At 39.1% G+C, this 23455-nt stretch overlaps 1 protein-coding gene and 1 non-coding gene across 22 annotated transcripts in view, besides 1 other annotated feature; both read right to left on the reverse strand.

Annotated features, from left to right (window-relative positions):
* Positions 1-23455, reverse strand: part of FANCC (FA complementation group C) — a 218656-nt gene that overhangs the window by 61651 nt on the left and 133550 nt on the right. For all 21 annotated transcript variants that reach the window (XM_006717001.4, NM_000136.3, XM_047422951.1 and 18 more), the window contains 2 exons: positions 11333-11443; positions 10375-10439 (listed from right to left, as the gene is read on the reverse strand). In XM_006717001.4, coding sequence (XP_006717064.1) covers positions 10375-10439; positions 11333-11443 — 176 coding nt within the window. The remainder of the gene's footprint in view (positions 1-10374; positions 10440-11332; positions 11444-23455) is intronic.
* LOC124902339 (small nucleolar RNA U13) lies at positions 11791-11894 on the reverse strand. Its single transcript, XR_007061915.1, has one exon. It is a non-coding gene; the product is annotated as a small nucleolar RNA U13 (small nucleolar RNA).
* Positions 17542-17711: an enhancer, noted in NCBI's record as "experimental_110513 CRE fragment used in MPRA reporter constructs". NCBI's record gives its function as "activates a minimal promoter by MPRAs in K562 erythroleukemia cells, with activity observed for both the introgressed and non-introgressed 9:97940613 variant alleles {active_cell/tissue: K562}" and the evidence as "EXISTENCE:reporter gene assay evidence [ECO:0000049][PMID:34662402]".

The raw sequence follows: 23455 nt of genomic DNA on the forward strand, positions 1-23455 counted from the left end.
GAGCAGTGGTTTGTAGTTCTCCTTGAAGAGGTCCTTCACATCCTTTGTAAGTTGTATTCCTAGGTATTTTATTCTCTTTGTAGCAATTGTGAGTGGGAGTTCACTCATGATTTGGCTCTCTGTTTGTCTGTTATTGGTGTATAGGAATGCTTGTGATTTTTGCACACTGATTTTGTATCCTGAGACTTTGCTGAAGTTGCTTATCAGCTTAAAGAGATTTTGGGCTGAGACAATGGGGTTTTCTAAATATACAATCATGTCAATGATGGAAGAGTTTTTACAATTAAATATATAATACTGTAAAATGGGGGCTTTTGGTGACCCATGAATTCTGAGAAAAGCTTGATGGTAGGTAGGTGGGATCTTTTTGAAGGAAAATACCACAGCCCTAAAAGCTTGCCAAGAGAGGACTACTATAAAAGATAAGAGTTACTTTGGGGATGAATTCAAGGAACAGGGGGCAACCTGACAGCCAGCTGCCAAGGCCTTATACATTATACACTCTTTCTTCTTATCCACTGTCTTTAGGCAAGAGATAACAGAAATGTCCTGACTCCAACAGGAAGGAGGAAGGAGGAAGGAGGCCTGGAAGGAGAAGCCAGCCCGAAATGGCTATCAACCTCCAGGAAATATGGGAGTCCTCTAAGGCCCAGAATACAATTTACTGGCAACCTCAATCAACACTACCTCTTGATCTTCCCATAATTATTGGAGGCTACAGTAAACAGAGCACTCATCGAGAGACTAACAAGGAATCCCAAATTCCAGGAAGACCAAATTGTTCTGCAAAGTGGTTGTGCCTATTTATGTTCCCATCAGCAACCTCCTAAAGCTCACCATAACCTAATGGATGTCTAACTGATGTTGTTAGTTTACACTTTCCTGAAAATGCACAGAAAAGCTCATAGACCAGTTTTAAATTGTGGTGAAAAACACATTAACATACAATTTACCATTTTAACCATTTTTAACTATACAGTACAGTAGTGTTAACTATATGTCCTTATATGCAACAGATCTCTAAAACTTTCATATCTTGCAAAACCAAAACTCTATACCCATTGAACAACAACTCCCATTTCCCTCTTCCTCCCATCCCAAGGTAACCACTATTCTACTTTCTGCTTCTTTTCTTTTCTTTTTTTTTTTTTTTTTGAGACATAATCTTGCTCTGTCACCCAGGCTGGAGTGCAATGGCACGATCTCAGCTCACTGCAACCTCCGCTTCCCAGGTTCAAGCGATTCTCCTGCCTCAGCCTCCTGGGTAGCCAGGATTACAGGCACCCGCCACCACACCCATCTAATTTTTGTATTTTTAGTAGAGATGGAGTTTCGCCGTGTTGGCCAGGCTGGTCTCAAACTCCTGACCTCCGGTGATCCGCCTGCCTTGGCCTCCCAATGTGCTGGGATTACAGGTGTGAGCCACTGCACCTGCCCTTAGCTTCTGTTTCTACAAGTTTGACTAATTTAGATACCACACATAAGTGTAAGTAATCATGCAGTATTTGCCTTCTGTCACTAGTTTACTTCACTTTGCATAATGTCCTTAAGTTTCATCCACACTGTAGCATATGACAGGACTTCCTTCTTTTCTAAGGTGGAATAATCTTCCAATGTGTATATATACCATATTTTCTTTATTCATTCGTCCGCTGATGGACACATAGGTTACTTCCACCTCTTGGCTCTTGTAAATAATGCTCAATGAACATGGGTGTGCAAATATCTCTTAGAGATTTTGTTCCCAATTATTTGGAAATATACACAAATATGGGATTGCTGGATCATTTGGTAATTCTATTTTTAATTTTTTAAGGAAACTCCATACTGTTTTCCATAGTGACTGCACTAGTTTAACATTCCTAGCAACAGTGTACAAGGGTTCCAAGTACTCCACATCCTCATCAATATTTGTCATTTTCTCTTTCTTCTTTTGATAGTGGCCATTCTAATAGGTGTGAACTGGTATCTTATTATGGTTCTGATTATCATGTCCCTGATAACTGGTGATGTTGGGCATCTTTTCATATGCTTGTTGGTCATTTGTATATATTCTTTGGAGAAATGTCTATTCAAGTCTTTGACCTATTTTTAAACTGGATTATTTTGCTGTTGTTGAGTTGCAGGAATTCTCTGTATATTCTGGATATTAATCACTTATCCAGATTTAAGGTTTGAAAATATTTTCTCCCATTACATAGGCTGCTTTTTAATCTGTTGATTGCTTCCTTTGTTGCACAGACACTTAAAAATTTCATGCAGTCCTATTTGTCTATTCTTGCTTTTCTTGCCTGTGCTTTTGGTGTCATATCCAAGATCATTGCGAAGTCCAATGCCATGACACTTTTCTCCTACAGTTTCAGGTCTTACGTTTAGGTCTTTCATCTATTTTGAGTTAGTTTTTATATATAATGAAAGGTAAGGGTTCAAATTTGTTTTCTCAATGTGTATATCCAGTTTTCCCAACACCAATTATTGAAGAGACAATCTTTTCCCAATCTTATAGACAGGATACCCTTGTCAAAGACCATTTGATCTTCCATGTGAAGCCTTACTTCTGGGCTCTCTATTCTGTTTTAATGGTCAATATGTCTGCCTTTATGCCAGTACCACACTGTTTTGATTACTGTGGCTTTGTAATATGCTTTGAAAAAAGGAAGTATGAGGCTTCCACCTTGTTTTTCTTTCTCAAAATTGTTTTGGTTACTTGGGGTACTTTGAGATTCTATATACATTAAAGGATTCTTTTTCTATTTCTGTAAAAAATAAAAGAAAAACCAAACGCCACTGACATTTTGATAGAAATAACACTGGAACCTGAAGATTGCTTTGGGTAGTACGGGCATTTAAAATACTAAGCATAGGCTGGGTGCAGTGGCTTACACCTGTAATCCCAGAACTTTGGGAGGCCAAGGCAAGTGGATCACCTGAGGTCAGGAGTTCGAGACCAGCATGACCAACACGGAGAAAGCCCATCTCTACTAAAAATACAAAATCATCTGGGCATGGTGGCGTGCACCTGTAATCCCAGCTACTCGGGAGGCTGAGGCAGGAGAATCGCTTGAATCCAGGAGGAGGAGGTTAAAGTGAGCCGAGATTGCGCCATCGCATGCCAGCCTGGGCAACAAGAGCGAAACTCCATCTCAAAACAAAAATAAACAAACAAACAAACCCCAAAAAAACCATACCCATCTATGAACATGGGATATCTTTTTATTTATTTATGTCTTATTTAATTTCTTTTAGCAATGTATAGCTTTCACTGTGCAAATCTTTCACCTCCTTAGTTGCTTATTCCTAAATATTTTATTCTTTTTGGTGCTATTGTAAGCAGGATTGTTTTTAAACTTCCTTTTTGGGTTGTTCTTATTAATGTATAGCAATGCAACTGGTTTTGTGTGTTGATTTTGTATACTGCAACTTTGTTGAATTAGTTTATTAGTTCTAACAATTTTTTTGTGTGAAATCTTTTAGGATTATTAACATATAAAATCATGTCATCTGTGAACAGAGACAATTTTATTCCTTCCTTTCCAATTTGGATGGAAAGAATTTGGAGCATCTGTTGACCTTTATTTCTTTTTCTTGCCCAATTCCTCTGACAAGGACTTCTGATACTATATTAAATACAAGTGGTAAGAGAGGATGAAGATATTCTTGCCTTGTTCCTGATCTCAGCGGGAAAACATTCCCTTTTTCACCACTGAGTATGATGTTAGCTATGGATTTTTCAAATATGGCCTTTACTACTTTACTACATTGAGGTCATTTCCTTCTATTCCTAATTTGTTTAAGGTTTTACCATAAGTGAGTATTGAGTTTTGTCATATGCCATTTCTGCATTAAGATGATCCATGTGGTTTTTGTTCATCATTTTATTAATGTGGTGCAATATAGTGATTTTTGTATGTTGAGCCATCCTTGTATTCAAGGAATAATTTTCATTCAGTCATGGTGTTTATACATATCTTTTTAACGTATTGTTGAATTCCCTTTTTGCTGAGAATCCTTCCATCATGATTCACGAAGGATATTAATCTGTTTTCATGTAGTTTCATTGCCTGATTTTCGTGTCAGGGTAATGCTTGCTCACAAAATGAGTTTGGAAATGTCCCCTCTTCTTCAATATTTTGGAAGACTTTAAGAAAGACTGGTGTTAATTCTTCTTTAAATGTCTGATAGAATTCTCCAGTGAAGCCATCTGGTCCTGGTTTTTTTCTTTGTTGGAAGGTTCTGAATAACCAATTCAATCTCTTTACTAGTTGTAGGTCTGTTCAGATGTTTTTATTTCTTCATTATTCAGTCGTGTAGGCTGTATATTTTTAGACATTTATTTATTCTAGGTTATTCAATTTGTTGGTATATAATTGTTCATAGTAGTCTCAATCTTTTTAATTTTTGTGGCATCAGTTTTAATTTCTATTCTTTATTCCTGATTTTTGCTATTAAGTCTTCTCTTTTTTTTTCTTAGTCTAAGGAATTGTCAATTTTGCTGATCTTTACAAAAACCCAACTCTTAGTTTTTTCTTCTATTCTCTATTTTATTTATTTCTGTTCTAATCTTTATTAGTCTCTCCCTTTTAACTTTAGGTTTAGTTTGTTCTTTTTCTAGTTGCTTGAGGTGTAAAGTTAGGTTTCTGATTTGAGATCCTTCTTATTTTCTTTTTTTTTCTTCCTTCAAAAGCATGTACACTTTCTTCTTTTTTAATGTAGGCATTTACCACTATAAACTTCCTGCTTAGAACTGCTTTTGCTGCATCCCATAGGTTGTGATATGTTGGGTTTTCATTTTCATTTGTCTCAAGTTATTGTCTGTGTTTCTTGTAATTTGTTCTTTGACTCACTGGTTGTTTAAGAGTGGGTTAATTTCCACATATTTGTGAATTTTCCAATTTTCTTTTTGTTACTGATTTCTATTCCCTTGTGGTCAGAAAAAATAGTTACTATGATTTCAGTCTTCTTAAATTTGTTAAGACTTGTTCTGTGGCCTAACATGTGGTCTTTCCTACAGAATGTTCTATATGTGCTTGAGAAGAGTGTATATTCTGCTGTTATTGGGTAGAATGTTCTCTATATGCCTATTAGGTCCAATTGGTCCACAGCATTATTCAAGTTCTATTTTTTTATTGGTCTTCAGTCTGGTTAATCAATATGTTATTAAAAGTGGGGTGGTGAAATCTATTATTATTGTGTTACTGTCTCTTTCTCCCTTCAATTCTATTGGTATCTGCTTCATATATTTGGATGCTGTGTTAAGTGCATATATTATTGTAATTGTTGTATCTCCCTGAATTGACACTCTTATTATTATATAATCTTTTTCTTTGTCTCTTTTGATAGTTTGATATAAGTATGGCTATGCCTGCTCTATTTTGGTTGCCATTTTTCCATCTTTTCATTTTCAGCCTATGTATCTCAAGTGAGTCTCTTGTAGCTAGAATATAGTTGGATCTTGTTTTCTGATCTATTTTGCTATTCCACATCTTTTGAATGGGGTGTTTAATTCATGTTCACCTAAAGTAATTACTGATAGAGAAGGACTTACTATTGCCATTTTGTTGTTTTCCATATACCTAGTAGTTATTCTGTTCACGATTTTCTCTTATTCCCTTCCTTTGGGTTTCATTGATTTTTTTCATAGTGACATGCTTTCCTTCTCATTTTCCATTGTACATCTCCTACAGGTATTTTCTTGTTGTTACCATGGGCATTACATTAAACATCTTAGAGTTATAACAACCTAACGAGATAACTTCAATCACATACTAAAACTCTACTCATTTACATTTCCCTCCCCAGTTTATGTTATCAATATCACAAATTACATCCTTTTCTATTTTGTATCTATCAACACAGTTTAATAGTTATTTTTACACTTTTATCTTTTAAGTTCTATACCAGAATTAAAAAGTGATTTATGTACACTCAGCCCTCTATATCTATGGGTTCTGTATCCATGGATTCAACTAAATCATGGATCAAAAATATAGTATTTGCAGGATGTAGAACCCAAAGATTGAACGTTTGTATCTGTAAGTTCCATACAGTTTACTATGGGACTGGAGCATCTATAGATTTTGGTATGTGTGGGAAGTCCTGGAACCAATCCTCTCTGGATACTGAGGGACAACTGTACTATACAACACGGTATTATAAGATTTTGTGTTTGTCTGTATATTTACATTTACCAGAAGGCTTTATATTTTTGCATGCTTTCATGTTGCTAATATTCTTTCATTTCAACTTGAAGGACTCCCTTTAGCAATTCTTGTAAGGCAGGTCTAATGGTGATGAACTCCTTCAGCTTTTGTTTATCTGGGAATGTCTTTTTTTCTTCATTTTTTGAAGGATGATTTAGCCCAGATGCAGTATTCTTGATTGGAAGGGTTTTTTGTTTTGTTTTGTTTCCTCCCTGGCTCTTTGAATGTATCATCCCACTCCTTTCTGGCCTGTAATATTTCTGCTGAGAAATCCACTGATAATCTTCTGGAACCTTCCTTGTACATGACAAGTCACTTTTTTCTTGCTGCTTTCAAGATTATGTCTTTAACTTCTGACAATCCGATTTTTGTGTATGTTGTTGTAGGCCTCTTTGGGTTCATTCTTTGGAGTCTGCTGAGCTTCTGAAATTAGGATATCCAATTCCTTCCTAATATTTGGGAAGTTTTCACCATTATTTCTTCAAATAAGTTCTCTGCCCCTTTCTCTCTTATTCTAGGACTCACAAAATGTGTGTATTGTTCCATTTGATGTTGTTCCACAAGTGTCTTAGGCTTTCTTGACTTTCCTTCATTCTTTTTTCTTTTTGTTTCTCTGACTTAATAATTTCAAATGATTTGTGTTTAAGTTTTCTGACCCTTTCTTCTGTTTGATCAAGTCTACTGCTGAACCCCTCTAGTAAGTTTTTCAATTCACTTATTGTGGTTCTTTAGCTCCAGAATATCTGTTTGGTTCTTTTCTAGTTTCCATCTCTTTGTTGATATTCTCATTTTGCTCACATATTGTTTTCCTGATTTCATTTAGTTGTTTATCTGTGTTCTCTTGTAGTGCCTTGAGATCCCTTAAGGCAATTATTTCAAATACTTAGTCAGGTAATGCATAGATCTCTGCTTCTTTAGGGTCTGTTTCTGTAGATTTATTTTCATCCCTTGATTATGCCACGTTTCCCTGGTTTACTTTGTGTCTTGTTATTTTTGTTGTATTTTGTACATTTAAAGAAACATCTACTTCTCTCAGTCTTTATCGACTAACATGGTACAAAGGAAGGCTTTCACCAGTGGACCCGGCTAGACATTCTGGAGGTCCCTCAAACCTTTTCCAGGGATATATCTTCTCTGGGCTTATGCGTGTGATTTCCAAATTAGAGGGCTTTACTGGTTTTTCAAGAGCTCCTAATCTTCCCCTCCCCTCTAGTGTCCGTTTGTGGTATTGCAGATTCTCCAGTGCTGCAACAAGCTGCTGAGCTCTCTTGTTCCAAACTACGCCATTTCTCTGTCAGTGCTGTGAGTCAGGCAAGACAGATACCAGTCCCTCTAGTAGGCCCCTGAGAAGCCAGAGGCTTCTCTTCCCCTCCCAAAGAACAGGTCATGAGCTAAGTGCTTCCTCCCAATTCTGTTGAGCTATGCCAGCCTCCATCGGCAGCACTGTCAATTCTCTGGTGCTACCACAAACCACTAAGCTTTCTTTTGTTCTCCATGGCCCCAAGGCATCAAAAGTAGTCTTCCTTTATCTGCAGTTTTACTTTTTGTAGTTTGAGCTAGCCATGGTCACCCGTGGTCCAAAAATATTAAATGAAAAAATTCCAGAAATAATTCAAAGGTTTTAAATTGTGCACTGTTTTGTTCGAGATGGCACCTTGCTCTGTTGCCCAGGCTGGAGTGCAGTGATGCAATATCAGCTCACTGCAACCTCCACCTCCCAGGTTCATGTGATTCTCCTGCCTCAGCCTCCCGAGTAGCTGGGACTACAGGCATAAGCCACCACGCCCAGCTAATTTGTACTTTTAGTAGAGATGCGGTTTTGACATGTTGGCCAGGCTCGTCTTGAACTCCTGAAATCGGGTGATCTACCTACTTCAGCCTCCCAAAGTGCTGGGATTAAAGGCATGTGCCACCGCACCTGGCCTAAATTGTGTACTGTTCTGAGTAGCATGATGAAATCTCATGCTGTCCCACTCTGTCCCATCTGGAACATGAATCATCCCTTTACCCAGGGTATCCATAATATATACACTACCTGCTCGTTAGTCACTTAGTAGCCATACTGGTTGTCAGATCAACTGTCACAGTATCACTGTGCTTGTGTTCAAGTAACTCTTATTTTATTAATACTTAATAATGACCTCAAAGTCCAAGAGCACTGGGGCTGGCAATTTGGATATGCCACAGAGAAGTTGTAAAGTGCTTTCTTTAAGTGAAAAGGTGAAAGTTTTCAACTTAATAAGGAAAGAAAAAAATCATATGCTGAGGTTGCTGAGATCTATAGTAAAAACAAATCATCTATCTGTGAAATTGTAAAGAAGGAAAAAAATTTCTGTTAGTTTTGTCGTTGCATCTCACATGGCAAAAATTACAGCCATCATATATGATAAGTGCTTAGTTACGATGGAAAAGACATTAAAGTTGTGAGTGGAATACAGAAATGTGTTATGATTGGTGGCAATCAGGTTTGGTACTATCCACAGTTTCAGACATCCACTGGGTGTCTTGAAATATATTCCCTATAGATAAGGAGGGATTACTGTATGCGATTTCCTCATCAGTGCTCCCGGTCAGTAGAGACAGAAATCAGTTCCTCAGTCTGCTTCCTAAAAAGTGAGAATGTTGGATGCACATTCCACTCTTCTTTTTCCCTCCCAAGGAAGAGAAGCCACAAGCTGGGTTTTTCCTACCAATCTCACCAAGCTGCCAGACCTGGAAAAGGGCTATCACAGTTGACATGAAACAGATTGTTTAATCAATTTCAATGTGGCTATTCTAGACTTTGAGCTTGCCTGCAGTACTGTGACTTCTTAATTGGTTCTGTAGTTCTCACTATAATTTTTTGGGATGTATGCTGTAGTTAAGTCAATGTCTCTACTGGAAAATAAGGTCTAGGACTTCCTATTCTGCCATCTTGCTGATGTCATTCCTGAAGAACGCCTTTAATGTTATTATTAATTCAGTTTTCATCTTCTAGTAATGACCTGCTTATATTCCTTGCTCATTTCTATAACGGAGTGTTTGCCTCTTTATGATTTATTTTTGCAAGTCATTTCTATATTTTGCATTCTGATCCTTTGTTTCTATTTGTTAACAGATTTTAAAAATTATTTTGTTTATTGTCAGCTGCTTTTTAAAAAATCAACTGTGATGCATATTTTGGGAGTTTGGTGTAGGGAGTACATACACACTGCACTGACTGATTTTTAAGGTCTTTTTGAATAAATTTATAATTACATAATTCAAAAGATCCATCAGTCAACATTCACCTCACAACCAAATCCAAGTCTTTACCTGACATGTAAATAAATAAATCTAAACACTCTCCATGTCTCCTATGGTTCTTCTTACATTGCCAAATCCAACATAATGAAGATTATCTCCAATGTTTTCCTCTAATAATTATATAGTTTAAGGGTTAGGTGCAAAGGATTCCTAAAGGTTGAGGACAAAGACAATTTCTGATAGAGCTTGAATTAGCAATAGCTTTACAAAAAAAAAAAAAAATCACCAAGTCCCTCAGTCCCAGATTCTCTTGGTTAATGATATGTCAAAAATGAAATGCCCACCAATGAAAACTGAGATTCTTTTACAGAGTGAAGAAACATTTGTAATGTGATTAATTGCCTTTTAATTTGTCTGAATCTCTTTGATTTGTTTAGTCTAGATTTTGGAATATCATGTTTCTTAAAATAGGGCATATGTTCACATCAAATGTTGCCTTGTAAATATCGTGTGTGTGTGTGTGTGTGTGTGTGTGTGTGTGTGTGTGTGTTGGGAGCAGAAGAAGGCAGAGCCAGGGCAGGCTAGTGTGAGAGCATACACTTGCATCTGTGCACATTCTCCTCTTGCAGAGTGAGCAATCCCAGGGTAAAACTAAGTACTGCTCTTTCTTTTATGCTCCCTACTGTGTATGTAGGGCTTTCTACCTAATGGGCCCACAAAAGACATTGTATGATTTACTTACTGCTCTGTGAGAGTTGAGAAAATAGTGATTTTTAAAAGAGTTTGAAAAAACTCACCAATTTGCTATGTATTCCACTAAAATAATCTTTCTATATAAAATACAACCATAACTGAACATCCATTTCCTATGAATTGTAAAATTTTCCTCTCATAACCAAACTGATACATTTTGAAACCTGAGAAGAAGGATGTTTAGTTTAACACCTACCGCCTTTGAGTGTTAAATCCATTAAGATGATTCTCTCTGAGTTCAGACGCTAATGATAAAACCATCTGTAAAACAAAATCAGTTGCAGGTTAACTCACGCTGCAAACAGGATTACATCAGTTCTATTTTTCTTGGTGTGAGTGATATTTCCGTTGAGATTCCCCCAACCCCCATCTTCTCATGTTTCACTCTGTCAGAGTGAAAAGGAAGCAGTGCCATGTCACATTTACTAATAATTGGGATTTTATGTTTAATGTCTATAATTCTGCATTCCTATTTAAGCAATGAACAATAGACAGGTCATTAATTTCCTAAGAATTAAAACCAAATCCATTTAAAGAAAAGTTAGTTTACTTCTTCATTTAAAATTCAGTTCATTTGAAAAAAAAAAAAAAGTTGTTATTGTACAAAGCTTCCAAAACACCGGAATGGTTAACAAACATTAAAAAATCTCATAACATTTTTTAGAAGAGTTACATCAAGTTTGTAAGTTAAAATTTCTCACATTTGGCTATAATTTAAGCCAGAAGAAAACAATGCTTTAATATTAAGAGGTAAATATTTAAAACTATGTACTGAATTTTCTGTTTTGCTTTAACAGAAAATTCCAATCAGGTTATTTGAAATACAAGATTCTTTCAACAGTACAAGACTGTGTTTATAATAGCTAAGAACAGCTCTTCTCCCAAACATCTCTGAGTGAATAAGTGAGATGTGTCCCTAGAAAGAGAGGCTGATTGGTTGGTTTAGGAAAACCCTTCCTGGTTTCCTTCTTTCTCATAACTTCCCATCTCACATTTCTTCCGTACATGGCCATAAGTCTGCCCAAGGTAAGAAGAGATAAACAAAGAAAAGTTAAACATCTCTTCTGGAGGACTGAAATATTTCCATTTACTCTTTTTGCTGATGGCACATTCAGCATTAAACATTTCAAAAGTGATAAATTTTAAATACTCACATTTTTAAGCAAACCAGGATAGTAATCTATAGGTGCATACCCAAGACCTTGAGTGAAAAGAGCAACTTCTTTATCAAATCTGAGTGCTGAAAGTATATGAGATAATACACCCTAAAAAACATAAACAGAAAAAGTTAACTTCTTTAAAAGTAAATGCAAGTGCCTTTTATGTACAATGCCTACAATTTATTTGTACATGGGGGTGGTCTCTATGAAACAAAAAAATCTGTTTGTCAAAGTACCCAATTTACTTTGATTCAAAGTGTAAAAGAGAAATGTTAGCATTAAAGTTAACACATTAAAAAGAAGTCAATTTAAACAAACATTAGCAGTGAAACAAAAATATATATCATCAATGAGCAGTGCTTTACCTATATTAAGAATGGAATCTTTATTGTTTTTAAACTCAGTAAAATATGTTTAACAGAGATGATAATTTTTCTTTGCTTTTTTTTTGAGGTCAGATGGGTAACGTGCCGATGTCATACAAGGTTCAAGGGTGGCACATTGCACACACATGCGTGAAACACCCAATCATCACGCTCATGAACTACAAAAGGATCCAGATATTAGAATTTAATATAAGATAGAGAACACATCACAAATCAGTAGGGAAAGGACAGATTATGTAATAAATGGTGCCTCAAAAACTATCTGTAAAAAGAAAAAAAGATTCTCACCGGGTATTATTCATCAAAATATACTCCAGTTTAATGTAAATCAAAGAGATAAATGTAAAAATGAAATAATACACAAGAAGAAAACATGAACATTTTTCAAGTATCTGAATGAGAAAGAACTCTGAGAACTGAAAATCCTGGGAGTAAATCATCAGGGAAGAGGCTTGGCTGTGCTCAATAAAAATAAAATCTTGTGTTTACCAGAAAAATAATATGAGCACAAACTAAGAAGAATGTTAACAACAAACAGTACAGATTCTATATTATCAAATTAATGTACAAAATATACGACAAACACTAAGAGCATAACAATGAATATGAATAGATAATTCATAAAATACAAATAGCTAAGAAACACATAAATGAATGTTCATCCTCCATAATCAAAAAGGGTAGGGTAAAACACCTGTATGGCACTTTCACTTAATGAATTCAAGTTTTTTACAGACATGAATAGCTAAGCTGTATGGGGTTCTATGAAACATGTACTCTGTGTGAGCTCCTGGAGGAATAGAAATAGGGTCTTCCATACAGAGTGCAGTTGTGAATGGCACCGAGGCGCCCAAAGTGTGAGCAGAGGCAACACAGCCCGGAACCCATCATGAAGCTTGGACTTCCAGGGGTGTGTCTGCCTAGAGGTTTGTCACCTGAACAAAGACCGATTACGGGCTAACAGAGGCCCTGCCTTATAGAAAGCAACTTGAAAAAAATATATTAAATGTCTTCAAAATATTCAGAACCTTTGATATATGTGGCATACATTTAAGGAAATAAATGCAAATATGATGACAGGAACTATGCTCGAAGATGTTCACTATAGTGGTTATTTCTCATATAGTAAAAATTGTCTAACAGCAGAGAATGATTAATATGCTTATATAGTGGCTCACTGTAAGCCACTAAAATGTTTACAAAGGGGCCAGGCACGGTGGCTCACACCTATAATCACAGCACTTTGGAAGGCCGAGACGGGCAGATCACTTGAGCCCAGGAGTTCGAGACTAGCCTGGGCAACACAGAGAAATCCCACCTCTATAAAAAATACAAAAAAATTAGCTGGGCATGGTGGTGCACATCTGTGGTCCCAGCTACTCAGGAGGCTGAGGCAGGAGGATCACTCGAGCTCCAGAAATTGAGGCTCTGCACTCCAGGCTGGGAGTTGAGAGTGAGACCCTGTCTCCAAGGAAAAGAAAAGTTTATGAATAATTTTAATAGTATTTAAAATGGTTATATTATACTACTAAATGAAGAAAGATGTAAAATGTTATACTCAGAAATGATCTCATCAATATAAAAATAATCCATAAATGAGAATGGAAAAACAATGGAAGAAAACATCACTGTCTTAGTCTGTGCTGCTATGGCAAAGTACCTCAGACTGGGTCATTTATAAGAGCAAAACTTTATGTCTCAGTTCTGGAGGCTGGGAAGTCCAGAACCAAGGAGCTGGCAGGTTCAGTGTTTGCTGAAGGCTTCCAAGGTGATGCCCTGTTGCTGTGCCCTCTAGAGGAAACGGACACTATGAATGCTGTGTCTTCACATGGTGAAAGGGACAGAAGGGCAAAAAGGGCCCAGGGCACTCTCTTCCACCTCTTATAAAATCACCAGTCTCATTCATGAGAGCTCTGCCCTCATGACTTAATCACCCCCAAAGCCCCTCTTAATATTATCACATGGGTGATTAAGTTTCAACACATGAATTTTAGGGGATATATTTAGATCACAGCTATCACCAAATGTTAGCAGTTTCTAGGGTGGTGCTAGAGACCCATAATAGTACCACCCTAGAGACTGCTAACATTTATATTAACATTATATATATATATTTTTTTTCTTCTTCTTTCTACTTAAGTACAATTTCCTAGCCTTCCATACATGTATGTGCTTCTTTTACTACCAGGAAAAATATTTTTTGAAAAAGTTTTATTTGGAAATATTTGATCTTTAAAAAAGTCCTATACTGCATTTTGTGATAACACATTACAAGATAAAATGAATTTGCATCTGTGCATATAAATGTATGTATGTAACTTCATACACAAATACTTGGAGATGACAGTCTAATCCAGGGTGGAGGCTAAGGGTGCCTCAGTGATGGGCAGGCAGGCTCCATAGACCCGGGACGACAAGCACGTGGCACACATACCAGTGACACTCTGAGTGGTTACCATTATCACGGTGGTCATTTCAATTTCATCATAAAGTATCTCACACATCCAAAAAGATACAAAATATTATGTCAAATTCCACAAACCTTCAAGCTTAATCAGTAAACATTAGAAATACAGAAGAAGCCTTCTATGCCCTCTGCCCTTCCCCATCATGATTCAACAGCCCTACCCCTGGGGGAAACTCTACCCTGAATCTGGGATGCATCCTTTTGTGCAGATCATGTACTTTCTCCCTGTGAGCTCACCCCTGCCTCCGTATCCTTAAAAGAGAATCCAGGCAACACTCCTAAGTCATGTAAGTGGAAACCTGCCATTTCTACATGACATCCTATCTACAGTTTTCAAATTAGAATTGCAAGTTAACAAAGTAGCTTTAAAACATTACTACTCAGTAGAAGACGTTCATGATTAATAAAAACAACAACAAAAAACCCCCAGTAATATGTACTACATGATTTACAAAAAAATGAATCCACTGGAAAGGGGTAAAAACAGGAACCTTACAGAGTTAGAGAGTTAGAGTGAACCTTGCTTAAGGTAGAGAGAAGGATGGGGCCACTTGCTTGTTATTGTTTTTTCCCTCTTTCAGTTCAAATCTGCCGCAAATACAGAAAGCAAATAGGAGCTGACCATAGCCCCAAGAGAGTTCGTCTCCATGTTGGTGGTGTTCTCTTCCAACACCAAGTGCAATCTGGGAGAGAGAGGGAGCAGCCATGGCTGGGTGGGCAGAGTCAGGGAGCTCAGGTACAAGCCAGCGTGCCATCTGTGGAAGTGCTTACTGCCAGCTGCGCTTACTGCTGGACTCCACTGAACTTGCGAAGGCGGAGGGTGGGGCCTGCACAGCAGGGAGAGCACTTGGTGCTCTTAGCAAGCCAGGATGGAGCCTGAATCCCCAGTGGGGTGCAGTGCAGGTGTTCTGGGAAAAGGGAAAGCCCGGCCAGGTCTGGCCAGCCATATGTCAAATCCACGCGGAGGTGTCCAAGTCAGACCCAGGCAGAGAAGGGAGGACTTGGTTTGGAAAGTAGGTGGGCTCCAAGTCGGCAGCAGTCTGGGTTTGCACAGAGCAGGTCAGTCTGATGCTAGGTGAGGGGAGGGCAGTGTCAGAAGAATGCAACCTTCTGCTCAGAAACCAGACTTTTGCATTCTATTTAACACTCATTTAAAGCATTTACTACACACCAGGGGCTGTTCTAAGCCAATTACAAATAGCAACTCATTTAATCCTCACAGCCTACGGGTAGGTACTGTTACTGAATCTGGGTTAAAGAGGAGGAAATCAAGACAGTTTAAGCAGCCTGCCCAAGGCTAGTTATTTACTCTATGGCCAAACCTTATAATGAACCTCCCTGTATCCACTGTCCATGAGACTGTTGGGATAGTTTTTAACAATGCAAATCTGAATGCTCTCAGTCTGAGACCCTTACAGCTTCCAGTTACTCTTACTGTGAAGCCCAAACTTCTCAAAGTGAAGCAGCCTGGCTCACCAGCACACCCCACACCCGCCACCAGGCTTGACTTCTCCTTACAAGCCTGTTTGCGACCCTGGAGGGCCACAGGCTTTTTGGGCCATCAGGACTTCAGTATGTCCAATCCCCTCTGCCTGGGGAGCTCTCCTATGCCCCTCACTTGTGAGAATTGACTTCTTGAAGGAATTCTAGCAATTGTGACAACCACAATTTACCAAGTGCTTACAATGTGTGAGGCACTATGTTCTCTAAGTGTGGCATCTCACTGAAAATCCCAGGCTCAGTTTTTAATCAAATTCAATTCAGCAAAGTTTCAATTAAGCCACCCATAAACAGGTGGCTACTGTTATTGTATATCACAATCCACCCTTAAAAAATTAGAGCGCAAGGCGCTACAAACCTGGTTGAGATGGAAAGTAATGTAGTATGTAATTGAAGGAAACCAGTTTTGAGCAGTAACAGCTAAGGGTCAGTTAAGATTGTAGATGTTAAACAAAACCATGCCCAGGCTTTCCCCTAACCCACAGCCTCCCAGAAGCACTCACACCCTGGGCCTGGGACCAGCTCACGGAGGGTGACTTCCCAATACTGTATGAGCTCCGTCTTGACATTTGATAGATTCAGAGGGTGAGATGAGAGATTGTAAATAATTCTTAAGTAATGTTTAAAATAGCCACAAATAGTTCCCTAGATATTACAGTCATGTATCACTTAGCAACTGGGATACATTCTGAGAAATGCTTCGTTAGGCAGTTTCTTTGCGTGCAAACATCACAGAGTGTACTTACATGAACCCAGATGGCTCAGCCTGCTGCACACCTAGGCTACATGGGAGAGCCTATTGCTCCTGGGCTACAAACCTGTGCAGCATGGGACTGTACAGAATACTGTAACATTGTGATCTAAACCTATCTAAACATAGAAAAGGTACAGTAAAACTATGGTATAACACTGAAAAAATGGTACACCTGTATAGGACACTTCCCATGAATGGAGCCTGAAGAACTGGAAGTTGCTCTGGGTGAGTAAATGGGGAGTGAATATGAAGGCCGAAGACATGACTCTGCACCACTGTAGACTTCACAGACACTGTACACTTAGGCTACACTAAATTCTTAAAAACTTGTTTCTTTCTTCAGCAATAAACTATTCTTAGCTTACCGCAACTTTCAAATTTGATAAACCTTTTATTTTTGTTGAACTTTTGGACTATTACAATCAATGCTTTGCCTAAAACACATTGTACAGCGGTACAAAAATATCTTCTTTCACTATATCCTTATATCATAAGCTTTTCTATTTTAATTTTTTAATTTTTTTTTACTTTTTAAACTTTTTTGTTAAAAACTGAGGCACACTGCCACCCAGACACTTGTCCTGGTCACTTCAACCCCTGGCTCACTGTTGTGCTGGTGTGAATGCAAACCCCGCTCTCTGGCTGCCAAGCATGCATGTGGCCAGGACAGCAAATCAAGCATTCAAGCTCCAGGCAAGAGGTCTTCTCAGGTTCCCAAACAGGCTTTCCAGAATTCCCCCAAGACACTGAGACTCAGCCCCTTCAAGGCCTTGCTGCCAAAGAGAATCAGAGAGGGGATCGGGGAGCCGTTCAGACTCTCCAGCCCAAGCTTGTCAGTGCACAGCTCAACACAAATTTGTAAACTTTCTTAAAACATTATAAGATTATTTTTTGCTTTTTTTTTTTAAGCTCATCAACTATCACTAGTGTTAGTGTATTTAATGTGTGGACCAAGACAATTCTTCCAATGTAGCCCAGGAAAGTCAAAAGATTGGACACCCCTGCTCTAGTCTCTTCTGTAGTGAAAATGGACTTGTACCCAAAGAGGCAACTCACTGTCCACAAGGACACCATCCCAGATGCTGAGCATCAACCTCCTGCCTCCCTGGAACAGACCTTATCTGAATCCCATCAAAGCCCACATTGTCCTCCAGCCTCTAACGTCCAGACATGTGCCAGAATAGCCCCTCAGAACTGTCTTGATGAGATGGGACAAGGGGTGGTGGAGATCCAGGTTCAGAATGGCCGCCTTATCCCTGACTTCTGAGAGGTCTGTACCTGCTGGTTGGAGCCCTCACTCCTTAGGAGGCTTGGCCCATGTCCCAGGAAGTGCCCCCTAAAACGACCTTCCGGTCTCTTCCTCCTCTGAGGGGAGCGCCCTGGAATGAGTCCCTCTGTGCTAAGGAACACGACCTCCATTCGCACAACCAGGCTGACTGGCGCCCTGTGCCCGGAGGCAGGAAGAGACGCAGGATCCAGCTTGTGTCTGTGCGTCTGTGTTTCTCCAGCTGTGGTGCCTGTGCAAAGAGTGGAACCCCAAAGAACACTGGGTGGTCAACACACGGACACAGCACCCAATACAAGTATGTATGTTTAAGCTGAATAACAATGTCATATAAAAATGTTATTTCATTTTATAAGAAAATTGAGTTAAATTTTGTAAGGGCGTTAAAATATAATTTTAATAGGAAGCTATGAAAATTATCTACACTTGGTGTACAAATGACTGAATTTTGGGTAACTCTGTAAAAGCCACTTATGGGTGTAAAGAGGGGTCTGTCACTTACTTTATAAGACATCGACTTCCAAATCTGTGGTGTTTTTAACCAGTGCCCTCTGGTGATACTAACATTTCTTAGCCTGAAGGAGCATTTCCATGGAAACCATAATAGAGATTTCGCTAACTTTGGATTAAAATAATTATAAAATTGCTTGGTTGGTTTATGCTCGTTAACCAAATGCTCCTACAGATAGCATATTGCACATGTGTTTTGATGTGTTCTTTCATCTAAGGTCAATTTCCCTTAGTTTATTCATCAAATTTTATTTACTTTAGATAAAAGAGACCTTGTAGTTAGCATGTGCTCTATGAATCTGTACTTTGTTAGAAATACAAACTCTCAGACAAAACCCTGACCTATTTTATCAAAATCTGACCTATTTCATTAAAATCTGGATTTAAAATAATATTTCCAGGTGATTCATATGCACATTAATGATTGTTACTAGCTCTGTCACCCAGGCTGGCGTGCAATGGCACAATCTTAGCTCACTGCAACCTCTGCCTCCCAGGTTCAAGTGATTCTCCTGCCTCAGCCTCCAGAGTAGCTGGGATTACAGGTGTGTGCCACCACGCCCAGCTAATTTTTGTGTATTTAGTGGAGATAAGGATTCACCATGTTGGCCAGGCTGGTCTCGAACTCCTGGCCTCAAGTGATCTGCCCACCTCAGCCTCCCAAAGTGCTAGGATTACAGGTGTGAGCCACCATGCCCAGCCGGTATTCTATTCTTAAGAGGATAAAAAGTTATATGGGTGTACTGATTTGTCAAAAAGGTACAATAAAGATTATACATGTCAATGCACATACATCTTATCTTATAAAAATAAAAAAATAAAGGGATGGGGAATGAGCTGAAGTATAGATGAAGCAGAAATAGCACATGATGAGTAGTTGTTGAGGCTGAGTGTCAGGTCTATTACACCATTTTGTTTATTTTGTATATGTTTAAAATGTTCTGTAATAAAACACTTGTCTAAAAAGACAAAGTTTATCCATAACATTAGCTCTTAAGATTTTGGCTACCTTTGGAGAGGAAGAAGGAAGAAAGTGGATGTCAGAAGCATGAACAAGGCTGATTCTATCTTGTGGTTACAAAAATGTATTTGCCTTGTAATAATTCACTGAGCTTTATCTTAATGCTTTGTGCATGTACTTCTGTATGCATATTATGTATCAATAAAAATTTAAATATTAAAGAGAAAAACTGAAGCACACACATTAGCTGAGGCCTACACAGGGTCAGGTAATTAATATCACTGTCTTCTACCTCCACATCTTGTCCCACTGGAAGGTCTTCAGGGGCAATAACAATAACATATGTGGAGCTGTCATCTCCTGTAATAACAATGTCTTCTTCTGGAATGAATCCCTCCTGAAGGACCTGCCTAAAGCTGTCTTACAGTTAACTCTTTTTTTTTTTTTTTTTTTTTTTTTGAGACAGGGTATTGCTCTGCTCTGTCACCCAGGCTAGCAATCACAGTTCGCTGCAACTTTCAACTCGTGGGTTCAAGCAATCTTCCCGCCTCAGCCTCTCAAGTAGCTGAGACTGAATAAGCTGAGGCTTATTTTTTAAATTTAATTTTATTTTTTGTAGAGGTAGGTCTCAGTATGTCACTCAGGCTGGTCTCAAACTCCTGGCCTAAAGTGATCCTTCTGCCTTGGTCTCCCAAAGCACTGGGATTATAGGCATGAGCCACCACATCTGGCCAACTTTTTTTTTTTTTAAATAAGTAGTACACTCTAAAATAACAAAAAGTATAGTATGTTAAGTACATAAACCAATAACACAGCCATTTATTATTATCAAGTAATTATGTACTATATATAATTATATGTGTTATCCTTTTCTATGACTAGCAGCACAGGATGTTTGTTTACCTAGAATCACCACAAACATGTGAACAATGTGTTATACTACATTATAACACCTATGATGTCCCTAGGTCATAGACACTTTTCAGCTCCATTATAATCTTATGAGACCACTATTGTACATGCAGGCTGTTGTTGATCAACATGTCATTATAAGGCACATGACTAAACTTCCAATGTCTGCATTGCACGAGCTGACTTTAACATATAATGTCCTGGAAAAATGAAAATGTAGTATCTCACTTATCTGCAAGGGATACACTCCAAGACCCTCAGTGGATGCCGGAAACCTTGAATGTACCTAACCTTTCTCTCTCCTCTCTATATATACACATACACACACACACACGTACACATTGTGTGTGTGTGTGTGTGTGTGTGTGTGTGTATGAAACAAAATTACATATTTTAATTTACGTTTTTCCATAATTCTGTAATATAAGTGGCTATGAAGTGCCACAAGAGTTTTTTCCCTGAATAAAATAAGTGTTAAGTCCTAGAAACAACATACAGAGGCCAGTATATGGTTACGTAGTTTTCAAACAGACACCTCAAACTTTGGTCCTCTAAATTTTTATTTTATAGTAAACTTAAATATTGATGAGCATTTCTCATTGCTAAGAATAATTTTTTTTACCGCCACCTAGTGGTAAATAGTCTAAACACAAAACCATTAAAGATTAGGCATTGGCTCTTGGACAAAAATAAATTCCTATAGTCATATAATAATAGGTTCTTTCTCAAATGCTGGCAGAGTGATCTTGGAGATCCTTTACTCTAACTCCCTCAGTTTACTAATGAAGCACTGAGTTTCTAAATATACAAATCAGTATTTAAGAAAAGGATGTGGATATAAATGAACAGGTTCAGACATAAAGATGTACAGATTTTATCATCCTGACCACTGATATAAAATCTTTCATGAGTAGAAAGTATGGGAACCAAGATGGCTGTATCTAAAATGATTTTAAGCCCAATTTCGATTCATGTAAAAGAATGAAACTCTGCTCATGTGTGAAAAGCCATTGAATGTGCTTAGATCATGCGAGTGAACTTTCCTAAGAAGGGGAGTTTTAAATAAAGCAGAGGGAAATCCACTGCCCTTGCTTTTGGGTGCTGTTAGTTGTCCTTGCCTCACTGTATCTGCTCCCTCGTGTAACAGGCAGCACATTCGCAGGCAGGTTAGGAAAGCTGGAGCAATGGGTTGTGGCTTGGAACATGGTCTGGGTGTGGAGGAAGGGTTGTGGGTTTTGCTCAGGCAAAGGGCTAGGAGAGCCAAACTGTGGTCAGTATTCTCAAACTAAGACAGAGCACGTATATTATGCTTCTCTAAACAATTTCTTCATCTGATCATTAAAGTCTTTTAGAATTTCCACCACTTTGCTCTCCATGGCATATCTCTTTATACAAAATATACAAAAAAAAAAAAAGGTGTTGGCCAGGCGTGGTGGCTCACGCCTGTAATCCCAGTACTTTGGGAGGCCGAGGCAGGCGGATCACAAGGTCAGGAGATCGAGACCATCCTGGCTAACATGGTGAAACCCCGTCTCTACTAAAAATACAAAAAATTAGCTGGGCATGGTGGCGGGTGCCTTTAGTCCCAGCTACTCGGGAGGCCAAGGCAGGAGAATGGCGTGAACCCAGGAGGCGGAGCTTGCAGTTAGCCAAGATCGCGCTACTGCACTCCAGCCTGGGAGATAGAGAAAGACTCCATCTCCAAGAAAAACGTGCTTATAAATAGGGATCCCTTATTTATTCATTCAACAAACACAGGTTGAGGATGATCTGCTTTCAAGCCACTCTCCTGGGACCACTGGGGTGAGAAGCCCTGCAGCCTGGTGAAGGGTGCTGCAGGTGGGAATAGCCATCACGTGAGCCAGCTTGCTGAGTGCTGGAATGACTCTTGGTGAGGCAGCCGCTGTGGGAACAGAGCAAGGAGAGATGAGTTCCAACTGCTGGGTTCTGGGGTACTTCCAGAGACAATGGCATCTGAACTGATTCTGAGGGCTGGGGAAGAAGACAAAGTGGAGGAGGGAGAGGCAAGGGGAAGACAGAAAGAATGCATGTGTGATGTCGCTGGGACAGGGGAAGGTGACTGGGGAAGGAGTAGAGAAAAAAGGTGGGAAAACCTCTCCTGTCACCCCCTAAGGCTCCCGGCCCCTACTCCAGCCTGCCCCTACATGGCCTCAGCCCGCCTGCGCAAACTCACTTCCCCTGCCTTTCTCTTTCATCCCTGTGACTTGGTGACATCAGACTCCTGGCTGGTCACCAAATTCACCCAGCCCCTTCCCACCTCCAGACCTTTTCCTTCTTCTGAGAAACCCAACAACCTCCCCGCCCCCATCTCTAGCTGCCAAAATCATACCCATCTTTCAAAATTCACCTTTCTCTAGGATTCCTGTTCTAGTTCTTGACTGGGCAAGATGTTGTTCTGGAGTCTCTGTGGTTCCTCCCTTGTGTTTCTCTCCCTGCACCTTCCAAGGTCACCTTGCAGTGTAACGGTGAGCCTGCTCTCCTCTGTCCACCGTTAGCATGCAGGCGCTCCACGGCAGGCACTGCCTCGCTGTCCTTCACATTCCTACCACAGCTGGGAGCCACACAATAGTCATTCAATAAAGACCAGCTGAGTCAAAACCAAGAGCACAGATTGCTCTCTTACAGCTAGTGAAGAACATAATCGCTGCAGGATTCCCTTGTGACCTTGTTATAGGAGAACACAACAAGTTTTCTTTTTCACAATTTGCTTTCCTAAGTTGCAGGTCATAAAATACCCACAGAATACTGGGAAAACATGACATCGCTATGTGCTTTTACTTCAAAGATATTAACTCATGTTGGTAACACTGACCAGAACCTGCACACCAATGATGATGTACTTTCATTGGCTACGGTGTTGCTTTGGTGCCACTCAGCTTGCAGTAACCTTCGGGTGCTGGGATTAGAACATCCAGGACGGACAGGAAAAGCAGAAGCAAAGGGCCATCTTTGCTGAAAGGGGTCCTGAGAAATTCAACCTCAGCTGTATTTAAATAGAAGTTATAATGCATATCTACATATTTTAAAACATGTTTTTCCTGCAAAACTGGTTAGTAAAAGAAAGCTTTTGTTAGTTCCATCCGATACACTCAATTATTTTTGGCCCACCAAAATGTATTTCTCAGGTATAAATCAGTGTGTTTAACCTTCTCTTTCCTCAAACCAGTCTATTCAGTCCTGGGCCTGTGGCCATGCTACCATGTCGAATACCTGGAGGGCTCTCTGACCATGACCATATAAAATACTTGTGCCCGAATGCTGAATTAGTTGCTTCTCCCCCCCTTTTTTTAATGTAAACATTAAAAAAATTTAATGTAATTA

Source organism: Homo sapiens, chromosome 9 (genome assembly GCF_000001405.40).
Source record: "Homo sapiens chromosome 9, GRCh38.p14 Primary Assembly".
NCBI lineage: Eukaryota > Metazoa > Chordata > Mammalia > Primates > Hominidae > Homo > Homo sapiens.